The 11,011-nt window shown below is 51.7% G+C and overlaps 1 protein-coding gene and 1 long non-coding RNA gene across 20 annotated transcripts in view, besides 4 other annotated features; one reads left to right on the top strand and one right to left on the bottom strand.

Annotated features, from left to right (window-relative positions):
* TBC1D22A (TBC1 domain family member 22A) overlaps positions 1–11,011 on the bottom strand; it is a 413,050-nt gene that overhangs the window by 257,517 nt on the left and 144,522 nt on the right. For 17 of the 19 annotated variants that reach the window (XR_007067971.1, NM_001284304.2, XM_017028742.3 and 14 more), the window contains one exon: positions 5,995–6,109. Coding sequence is in view for 16 of the 19 variants with exons in the window: in NM_001284304.2 (NP_001271233.1) it covers positions 5,995–6,109 (115 nt within the window). In the remaining 3 variants the exon portion in view is untranslated. 19 annotated transcript variants of the gene reach the window in all.
* TBC1D22A-AS1 (TBC1D22A antisense RNA 1) lies at positions 2,141–4,091 on the top strand. The gene has a single exon (NR_122047.1). It is a non-coding gene; the product is annotated as a TBC1D22A antisense RNA 1 (long non-coding RNA).
* Positions 2,611–3,110: an enhancer, noted in NCBI's record as "H3K27ac hESC enhancer chr22:47310969-47311468 (GRCh37/hg19 assembly coordinates)". NCBI's record gives its function as "activates a minimal SCP1, AML or CMV promoter by ChIP-STARR-seq in naive H9 embryonic stem cells {active_cell/tissue: H9 hESC(naive)}" and the evidence as "EXISTENCE:reporter gene assay evidence [ECO:0000049][PMID:30033119]".
* Positions 3,111–3,612: an enhancer, noted in NCBI's record as "H3K27ac hESC enhancer chr22:47310467-47310968 (GRCh37/hg19 assembly coordinates)". NCBI's record gives its function as "activates a minimal SCP1, AML or CMV promoter by ChIP-STARR-seq in naive H9 embryonic stem cells {active_cell/tissue: H9 hESC(naive)}" and the evidence as "EXISTENCE:reporter gene assay evidence [ECO:0000049][PMID:30033119]".
* Positions 8,087–8,980: an enhancer, noted in NCBI's record as "H3K4me1 hESC enhancer chr22:47305099-47305992 (GRCh37/hg19 assembly coordinates)". NCBI's record gives its function as "activates a minimal SCP1, AML or CMV promoter by ChIP-STARR-seq in primed H9 embryonic stem cells {active_cell/tissue: H9 hESC(primed)}" and the evidence as "EXISTENCE:reporter gene assay evidence [ECO:0000049][PMID:30033119]".
* Positions 8,981–9,874: an enhancer, noted in NCBI's record as "H3K4me1 hESC enhancer chr22:47304205-47305098 (GRCh37/hg19 assembly coordinates)". NCBI's record gives its function as "activates a minimal SCP1, AML or CMV promoter by ChIP-STARR-seq in naive and primed H9 embryonic stem cells {active_cell/tissue: H9 hESC(naive and primed)}" and the evidence as "EXISTENCE:reporter gene assay evidence [ECO:0000049][PMID:30033119]".

The raw sequence follows: 11,011 nt of genomic DNA, 5'->3' as shown, positions 1-11,011 counted from the left end.
GACAGTAACGATGATCACAAGAGCAACGCATACTGGACACTTACTGCGTTCCATACCTGGTTCTAAGCTGTTTTTGCCTCGCTCAGTGTTCACACCAACCAAGGGACTGGTGCCATTACGATCTCCATTTCGTGTCCACTGCAGAGATCACTGAGGCACCAAGGCCGCCTGCAGCTCTTCAGGGGCAGCGTCTGGATCTGGACCCCAGCGGTCAGGCCCCAGAGCTGCATTGCATCCTTCACAGATCCCAAAGGCGGCCCTCAGCAGCAGGAGCCACCTGGACTCTCAACGCCCAGACTCCGGCATGGGAGAGCGCCATAAACCTCCCTGTGGGACAGCCCCATTGCCAGCTCCTCGAGTCACAGACAGTCACAGCTCGGAGACCCCTGACACATCAGAGAGCCACTGGATCCTGTGACCCGCTGCACTCCACTCTCCCCAGACACACACATCCACAGCCGCGACTGTCAGCAGCCATTTCCAGGCCGACAATTTCCAGACTAACCTCCACTGCAGATCTCCTGCCAAGGCCCGGATCCCAACAGACTCTTCTACTCAATCACTGCCGACAGAGCACACTCAGCACATCCTAAATCAGAACCCCATCCCGCCTCCTCAACCCGCTCTTTCTACTCCACGTCTCATCCTGGTAAACGGCACCACACCCCTCACAGGGCCAGGAATCTAGGAGGTGACTGGATTTTTCCTTCTCGTTCACGCTCCCCTCTACTCACACCAAGCCACCTTGGTGCCCTCACAGCAGCCTATTTGACATCCAGGACCAGGCCCTCCTCTCAGGCCCAGTCCTCCGTCAGCGAGTCTCCTGCCTCCACCGGCCTCTGGTCTGGGCCTGCTCCTGTACCCCTCAGTGTCTCTAGACCAGGTGTCACTCCTCTGCTGTTACAAACTCTAAGATGCCCTGGACCCTATGTTATTCTCATCCTAGACCTGCCTTCTTCCATGGCCTGAACTAAGTCCAAAGTAGCACGTGCCTTGCTGTTTCCTCTCAATTCTAAAAGATTAGACTAAAAAGTGTGTCTTCCGCCTGTTCCTAGCTGAGTGTCGTCTCCAATGGCTGTGCTAACTGGAGTCTCCTCCACACTCTGCCCGCCCCATGGGTCAAGGACGCAATCTGCAAGAACAAGCACGCACGCTTGGCTCTGATCTGGAATGGGCACATTCAAGCTTCAGCAAATGTATCACTATGTGCCTCTAGTTTCTTCCCCACTCCCTAAGGCTTCAACCTCTGAAATTTATGAGCTGCGAAACCTTCCTGGCATAGAGAACTTCTCCATGATCGATCTCTCCCATCACATTATACCCTCTCACTTCGTTTTCACTTGTAGAGTTTTCTCCCCAAGCTTCGGTGATGTCGAACTGGCTGTATTTACTGGACTTCACTGTCTTCACATGCTTTGCACACGGCTGCCCCTGCCTCTGAGGTCACGCAAGATCGCTTGACCTCTTTCTCCAATGACAGGCACCTCCAGGGCCTGAGCGAAACTGGTGGGTGCCACTCAAACAAAGGTTGATTACAGATTTGTTCCCCATTTGCTTGGAGAGGTTGAGGCTAGCACTAGTGAGGAGTGTGCAAGTGGGTTTGTGTCTCTGTATGGTTATGTATGTCCGCGTGCACGTGCCTGCACGCCTGTGTGCACAGCATGTGTGTGTGCAAGAGCATGCCCTAAACATGCATTTACAGACTCTGCATCCATCAACAGCAGGACCAAACTGCCCTTCTCAAATAGTGGTGAGCTCCACGAGGACTGCTGGGATGCATACCATGTATTCCTGACTCAGGCCGGCAGTGTCCTGGCACCCATGGAGACCCATCGAACCCTAACCCACCTCTGAGCACACCTCCACACAGCTTGAGCATTGCTCCCCCACTACAAACTGTTTCTCTGACTCTGACATCCTGGCCAGCCTCCTGCTGAAGATGAACATTCTCCTCTGTGCTGGGAAGCAGTTCACCTAGTCGACTGGTCTGCCTTCAGACCAGGTCCTGTGTGTCAACCTCAACCACAGCAGCTCTCATTAGTTGCTTAGCAATGAGACAACCTCCTATGAAATCATAACTGGAAACAAAGTGTCAGAGGGGTTGCAATACAATTCACTACATGCATATGTCCTCATCCTCGGGGGATGATCTGTCCTCGGGTAAAGCTCATCTCTCCAGATTACAGCAAGGATGGGAATCTGAAGCCCACCACATCCTTCTTTCCAAGTCAAAGAACGTAACACTGAGAGGGCTCTGAGTGCCAGCATGTGCAGAGTTGGAACCTCCCACTGACAGCCAGAACGATGAGCCACTCCCGAAGAGCTGCTCCTACTCAGGACCAATGCCACACTCCAGGATTCCCCACCTCCCGTGAAACCAGTGGGAGCATATGGCAGGCCAGGATCTGTGGATCTTTACAGGCTCTGGACACATGGCGAACACACATCCCCAGAAAGAGCCCAGCTCCCACTCAGGCATCACAGATCTGTCTGCTGTTGCCTGAAAGCCCCTGGAGAAATCCCACACCCCGGGGATTTCTTAAACCTTTGATTAACTGGGATGCTATCCTGTACTTCAAAGAAAAGAGGAATATCCAAGTAACAACACAAGCTCATCCCCAGAACCAGGCCAGCTGCAGCTCTCAGGAGGTAGCCACACCCGGGCTAGTGCCACTGGCAGCTGCACCAAAGGTGTATGAGCGGTCACATGATAACCTGAACGCTGAGGCCCAAGGACTGGCAGGTGCTCAGGTGTCGAAACCACAGAATCCCATTACCAGGCTCTGTTCTCTGAAGGAACAGTCAATCTTGAAGATCTTCACTAAGCAGAGCATCTGAGGTTTACCGGCTTGAAGACCCAGCAAACTAAGAGTTCAGCAAACCAGAATAGCCTCTCTGGAGGGCACCCGTGCCTCTGCCGGTGCTGGACCCTGCGGGTCCCTGGTCTATGAGCTTCCCCAGAAACCCTCCAATCTCATCCACGCAGCTGCCAGAATGAATGTTCAAAGATAAGAACCTGAGCACAGTGGCTGGGGGTTTCGCACACCCCTGGGACTCGACCCCAAGCTTCTCCTTCTCAGCACTGCAGCCCAAGCCGCCCTGCCCTTCCTCCCAATGCCACTACTTGTCACTGCACCTTGGATTCCAGGCCGGCCCTTCTGCTGCCCTCTCTGAATGCCCGGCCTCAATCTAGCCTCCTCCTCATCCCGCGAGACATGGCTAAAACATCACCTCACCCTGGAGGCCTCCCCTGACCCCTATAAGGGGACAGGTCCCTACAGCAGCCCAGGCTTCCTCTTGATAATGTGAATGTTAATTACTTTAATTAAGACTTTAAATTACTCCTCTAAAATCTGTCTTCCGTGCTACAACCACAAACTCCAAGAGGACAGGGATCAGGCTTTCCTTGTTCTCCTGCCCCACTCCCACAGCACAGGGCCAGGAGATGCTCTGTCAACACTGGCTGCGTTGAACCGAAGTCATCTCCCCACCGCAGCGCTCTGCACCACACCCAGCACCAGGGCAGGTGCTCCATGAAGGGCCGCGTGAATGACTCAACTTCAGCCCCATAAGGAATCTGGACAGCACACCACGCAAGTTAAACGCTTCTTTACAACATAATGAAAGGCGGACTTGGACTGTACTAATGAACATTCCCCAAACCTAGGAAGCTAGATCTAAAAAGGACTACAAATGCAATAATCACATGTGAAATCCAGGACCGAACTTCTTTTTTTTTTTTTTTTTTGAGATGGAGTCTCATTCTGTCACCCAGGCTGGAGTGCAGTGGCGCGATCTCGGCTCACTGCAACCTCCGCCTCCCAGTCTCAAGCGATTCTCCTGCCTCAGCCTCCCGAGTAGCTGGAACTACAGGTGCATGCCAGCACGCCCAGCTAATTTTTTGTATTTTTAGTAGAGACGGGGTTTCACCATGTTAGCCAGGATGGTCTCAAACTCCTGACCTCGTGATTCATCTGCATCAACCTCCTTAAGTGCTCGGATTACAGGCGTGAGCCACAGCGCCTGGCCCAAACATTTTTATATGTCCACTTAATAGTTGACTGACAGAAATAAATGGTATGTTTTACACAGATGTTCAAAAGTGACACCGTATACCCAATGTGTAGTTGTGTTCTGATGTGTGCATGTGTGTGTGCATGTGCCTGCGTGTGTGACGGCGATGCAGGAAGGATGGGGACGCAGGAAGGCAAGGAGAGTGTCTCTGAGCTCATCTGAAGACACCACTTATAGGACACAAATTCCATTTTCTCCAGGCTTTCTTTCTTCTGGACAATTAAGATCGTGGTCATGCCCCTTCATCCTGTCTTGCAGATAATCAGGCAAATGCATTAAGAATCGCTTAGGTCTTACAACAGAAGTTGGCGGTAAAGTAGTTAAAACAAACTTATTTACCACATTAATTAAATGGTCTATTTAACATGGAATATCAATTCTCTAATCACATCTCAGTTGAACTTCTCCTTTCAATTAACAACTCTGAAGTCTACTGACAGAGGTCCTACTGTTCTAGGATCATTAAGAGCATTTTCATTATCTGTCAAATGAGGGGTAAGAGGCAGAAAAGCAAGCACCCTCAGGAGTAGCCTCTCCCCTACTTAAGAGATGATTAGGGAGTGAGCCGAGGCAGCTCTCATTAGTTGCTTAGCAATGAGACAACCTCCTATGAAATCACAAATGGAAACAAAGTGTCAGAGGGCTGCAGTAAAATTCACTACTTGGATATGTCCTCATCTTCTGAGGATAATCTGTTCATCTGTCCTCGGGTAAGGCTCATCTCTCCAGATCACAGCAAGGATGGGAATCTGAGGCCGACCACAACCTGGAAAGGCTAAAAACACCATGTAATAACAACAGGCGAGCACCAAGTCCAGAAGGCTTGCAGGAAGACAAAACCAGGTTTAAATTAAAATGCTGTGACTAAACAGTAAAGTCCCCTCTTTCCTATTTATGTTTTATCCATAGACGCATTAAAAAGCAGATCCTCACTTTTATTATCAGAGGTTTTAACTTAAAAACATATTCAAAACAGATTAAGTTACATTACAGTTGACTGTGATAAAGGAAAAATATGCAGTACTTAAAAAGAAACAGCATAAAAACACAGCCCAACCTAAAACACTGTTCAACCAGTTATTTCACAAGTAATTAATACTCTCATGAAACCAAATGTTACTAGTATAGCAAAAGTAGAAAAGTGATGAAAGGCCACAGAAACGCAATTAAAGAAGATTTGATTTTCAGCTTGTAAGCAAAATATGTGACTGACACTCTATCACCTTAATCTTATCCATTTAAATTCAAGCCACTGACTGGGCGTGGTAGCTCACGTCTATAATCCCAGCACTTTGGGAGGCGAAGGCGGGCAGATCACGAGGTCAGGAGTTCGAGACCACCCTGGCCAACATGGTGAAAGCCCGTCTCTACTAAAAATACAAAAATTAGCTGGGCATGGTGGCGCATGCCCGTAGTCCCAAGTACTCAGGAGGCTGAGGCAGGAGAATCACTTGAACCCGGGAGGCAGAGGTTGCAGTTAGCCGATATCGTGCCACTATACTCCAGCCTGGGCAGCAGAGCAACACTCCGTCTCAAAATAAACAGATAGATAAACAGATAGACAGACAGACAGACTGATTGACTGAATGACTGATCGATTGAATGACTGAAACCATTAAAGCCATTACTGTGATGGCCTTTAGAATAAACTACACTCCCCAAATATATTATCTATCTTCAAATATTGTTAAAAAGAAGATATTCATCATTATAACTGCAATTTAATGTCTTCAGTAGTTGAGCATGTAGATTAAAGACATTTTGGAAAGCTGTTGTTGATGAGAAAACTATTATTCTCTAATATTACCTATCATTAATAACATTACACTTAGTAGCAATTTTCAATATTGTTATAATTATACATAGTAACACACAGCAAGTCCACTAAAGTTCACGTTTAATGTTTGCAAGAAATCTTACCTATGTATTCACAAATGAAGACCACAAAGAAAGGAGTGACGAGATCATTTATACCCTGAACGTATCCACTGGCTGGGTGGCGGATCGCCCATATGAACAAGATCCTTTCAAAAATCTGAAAGAAAATGGAACAGGTGGTAAAGCAAAAAGTAAACATGGCAGAAACTTTAAAATGAAAGCATTCTATTACTTAAAATGTACACTGTATTTTCTCATTGCTCCTAATATTAAGATACAAATATAAACAAATATCAATTTTTTTTTTTTTTTGAGACAGGGTCTTACTCTGTTGCCCAGGCTAGAGTGCAGTGGTGCCATCTCAGCTCACTGCAGCCTCTGCCTTCCAGGTTCAAGCAATCCTCCCACCTCAGCCTTCCAAGTAGCTGGGACTACAGGCATGCGCTACCATGCCTGGCTAATTTTTGTATTTTTTGGTACACACAGGGTTTCGCCACGTTGGCCAGGCTGCTTGTGAACTCCTGACCTCAAGTGATCCACCCACCTCAGCCTCCCAAAGTGCTGGGATTACAGGAATGAGCCACCACGCACGGCCCTTAAGACAATTGAAACTTGATTTTAAAAAAAATTATTTATTGTCCCACAAGCAATGTGCAGCACTTCAGCAGCCCCTGGCTCAGTCCGTCCCTGAGCTGGCTCTCCCAGCAGAAGCGCTCTGCTCCTCCACACCCCGCGGGCCACCGTGCAGCAGCACCTGACCTATCAGTGGAGACTTCCTCAGGGAGGGAGGCATGGATGAGTGAGCAGGCGAGCAGATGAGTGGATGGACAGGTGGGTGGGTGGATGCTCTAAATTTCCCTCATAAAGTAAACAGATTTCTTTAAACCTCTGAAAAGGTATCACCATTCAAGAAGACAAACTTAAACATCTTCCATCACTTACGAAATCTCAGCAGGCATTCAGGCACGCAGGCCAGGCATGCAGGAGTCATTCCGGCCTCCTCCCTCCAATACTCTCAATATATTCAGTGGACCCTCTCTCCACCACCTCTTATTCCCACCTACTCGCTCCCATCTTCACTCATAAGGAGGGTTTCATTATACCAAGGTGCAACACAATCCTATCACCCACACCATACACGTGCACATGTGCACACCTGGCTGAAGACCTCTGCATGCTCCTCACCTCCCACGGACAGAGCCCCCACCACCCCCAGTGCAGTACCCCTGGCCCCTCAGTCTGGTCCCTGCCCCAGGGTCTCCCCAGCCAGCACCCACATTGTGGCTGCACTGAGCTACAGCATTCTTCCCCAACTGAGCCTGCCAGTCATCAGCCCGTACTCCTACCGCTGCCTGGAAAGCCTGCCACGCCCGCACCCTGGGTCTCGATCCCCCTGAGTGATCAGCCCGTACTCCTACCTCTGCCTGGAAAGCCTGCCACTCCCGCACCCTGGGTCTCGACTCCCCTGGCTTTCAGGATTCACTTCAAGCACCACTCCCTCCGTGAAGACTCTGCTGCCACCTGTTCCCTCCCCACTCTCTTTTTGGAAGAGCCAACCACTCCCTACTGTGTGGCCCTCTAGTTCCCACTCCTCTCCACTGGGTCACTGGCTGATGGCTCCAGCCTGACCTTCGGGCTGCCTGCCAGCTAAGGCCAGGCCCAACTGCTCTGTCCAGGCCTGTCCATACAAACAAGGCACAGGAGGTAGACTTCAGGAACACACGCTCCGACAGATGGATGAATTACATCGCTGCCATACAAACTCAGCCCCGCAGAGCCAACTACACTTGCACCCTGGGGAGTCGATCCCTTCCTACCCTGCCTACAATCCTAAATCTTACTGGGCTTGGTAGGCTCCATCCCCAAAATCACCATCAACCCGGGACCTACAAAGGAGGGACCTGGGACCGACAGGTGAAGTCTCTCAACCCAAGGAGACTACCCAGAGTGGCATGACCAGCCCTAAAGTCCAGGCCCCCCGCCACCCCACGCTAGCATGCAGTGCACACGGCTGTTCAGGTGAGTAACAGAGCCACCACCTAACACAGCAGGCACCTGAGAGACGCGGGTGGAATGAGGAATATGTTCGCGCACATATATTCATACACGCTTTCCATTTTCAGTTGACAACTTTCTAGAGAGAACTGAATATTTAACATCAAAGACCAAACCCACTCAACAACACAGTGCCATTTAAGAATTTCTCATGTACCAAAGCTTAGCAAATGATGCGAATGCTATTTAGCCGAGCTGCAAGTAGCGGCCAGAGGAGCCGTGTGGGGCCAGAGGGAGATGAAGAAGCAGGGCGGCAACCCCTCAGCCAACAGTGCTGCACCACGAGTCACCAACGCGCAGCCCCAGCCCTGCCGAGCCCCTAGGGCGTGAAGCAAGCCCAGGGGACGGCGTGTGACTAGAAGACAGGCAGGCTGGGTCCCTGAAGGCAGGCACGGGGCACGGGTCCAGCTCAACAGCCCTTAGGTCCACTCACCAGCAAGCCTCTGAGGGGCCTCTGAGCCCCCAAAAGGGTCAGGAGCAGGGGGCAGAGGGGACAGGGGCCACACAAGAACAGGAGCAGCAGCAACAGAAGGAAGAAGGAATGACACAGAGGCGGTGACTCCACGGAAGCTGGCCACACAGAGTTAGGAAGAAATGGGGAAACTCTGCCCAGCACCTCCTAACCAAGAAGGCCCGGGGTGCCTGAGGCCACTGACATCCCTCCACGTGTGTCCAGAGGACCGCGGCAGCCAGCAGCCACTGGACCCAGCTCTGTCGCCACACGGCATCCTCTACAGCCCAGGGAACAAGCAGTGCAGCGCCCCAGGAGCACGCACCCTGGACAGAGGGAGTCAAGGCAGGCACCGCCCAGAGCAGGGGGCAGTCGCACTGCAGTGCTGGGTGTGAGTGAGTGAGTGTGTGAGTGTGTGTGTGTGTGTGTATGTGTATAGGAAGAATTTAGGCAGTGGAGCACCCCCACCATTTAACAAGGCCCCTCACTTTCAGAGGGCCTGTCTCACACATGCACGCACACACACACACAAACACACACTTTCTCAAGGCTATATCTACTCATAAGCATGAATGCAGTACTTTCCTCAGCAGCCTAAGTGCTGGATAAAACCAATTTGGCAAATAGGACATACCCAACTTCACCCAGGGAGGATGCCGAGGGGAGCCCAAGTCCTCTCGGCACAACAAGCTCCCGGGCTCTGTGGACCATGAAACAGGCTGCTGCAGGGGAGAGATCTGCGCAGGCCGGGGCCTCGACTCGGTTCCACAGCAGGAGCCTCCATGAGGCCCGCATCTCTGAACTGTACCTGAGATAGACCGAGTTCTGCCTGAGCACAGCCTCGGGAGAGACATGGAATGCACTATGCACTACGGGGCAAATCAGGACCACCAAACAGGCACGGCAGGAGGTGGCTAAGCCTTCAGTTAGCAAACAAACAGTGCTGAAGCACCTGCCAAGTGAGTGCCCTTTCACAGGCAACCCAAAGACCCAGCAATTACCTTCTTCCCCTCATCCAAGTCAGGACAGAGGGCCTCTGCCCACCCAGACTCCGGGACGCTCCGCACCAGCCTGGGTAGTAATGTACTTTAAAAGAGCACGCTTGTATTACTTTGAGGAAAAATGGAGAATTCCAATTTCTTACTGACTGAAGAAAGCTATCAGTCAGTCCAAATTCTTCAGATTTAACTCGGCTTGATGTCCGCTGTCATCCAACTGACATGTAAATAAAGGACAGCCAGCTCAAGCATTGAACAAAAATGACCTTTAACGTGGCAAGCAGGCTGCAACGGTGAAAAGTGGGTGTCCCGTGGAGGCGTGTGACACTGCACACAAAGCCTGGCTCTGCCGCTAAAGGCACAGGCTTTTAGGGCACTGCTCCTGAGGTCCGCCCCTCAGAGAATCCCAGGGAGACCTGCGGACCCCACACGCCATCACCACTATAGCACACCCCAGATGCGTGTGGCATCCAGCCCCTTCCCCCGACTCCACTGCCACAAGCCTGACCACCATCACCTTGTGCCTGGTCCGCAGTGACAGTCTCCTGGCTGGTCTTCCTGCTAACACCCCCATGCTCCACATCCCGCTGAGCAGCAGAGGTTGCTGCTAAAAATGTCAGGTCACACCATCCGGCCCCCGTGGCTTTCCAAGACCCTGACGAGACAATGCACTCCTGAGCATGGCTTCAGGTGTGTGCCTGGCCGCTCCCTGCTCTCTGGCCTCCTCGCCGGCAATGGGTGCTCTCTCACCAGGCCCAGCCACTCTGCGGCTGTCTCAGGGCCTTTGCACTGCTGCTCTTTCCACCTGGAATCCCCGTCTCCCAAACTTCCCACGGCTCCCACGATGTTCCACCCAAGTCTTAGTTCACATGCATCTCCTCAGAGACAAGCTCCTCTGCCACCTCCCTACCCAAAGCAGCAGCTCCTCCACCGCACTGCCCCGGCTCTGGCCTGTGGCTCTCACCCAGTTCAAGGTGGGTCCCTGGGAAGGGTTTCCTCCACCCACTTTACAGCAGTGCCCTCAGTCCTGCACGGCCGGCACAGAGGAGGACTGGGAAGCTCTTTGTGGCTAAATGGAGGTGTGGATGGTGGAGGCGCAGATGGTGGAGGCGAGGATGGTGGAGGCGAGGACGGTGGAGGCGAGGATGGCGCAGCTGCTCCCTGATGCCCTGCATGTGAGCCCTCCCCTTCCTCCCTTCTCCAGGTTTTGTGCCATTGGCAGGACCTGGGCTCATTCTGGGGGTCTGTGTGGACAGATAATGAATGCCATGGGTGCCTGCCTGGGTTTGTGATCAGCCTCTCCCATCTGTTTCCTCTACCAGGCAATGCTGCAGCCTGGCACTTCAAACGTCAACCAGTCAGGACCTCAGGGCCCCCACCTGTCTGAGTGGAAAAATGCACAGAGAGGAAGGGGCAGAAGTAACTCCATTGAAAGGGACAGGGAAGATAGAAGCACTTGGTGAAGGGAGACTGCAGAGAGGTGACGGGAAGAGAGGGTAGTGAAAGCTGAGGAGGGAGGAGGAGAGGAGCCTTCTATGCAGAGAAAAGAGCATGT

Source organism: Homo sapiens, chromosome 22 (assembly GCF_000001405.40).
Source record: "Homo sapiens chromosome 22, GRCh38.p14 Primary Assembly".
In the NCBI taxonomy this organism is placed as follows: domain Eukaryota; kingdom Metazoa; phylum Chordata; class Mammalia; order Primates; family Hominidae; genus Homo; species Homo sapiens.
This window is presented reverse-complemented; position numbering and strand designations above follow the sequence as displayed.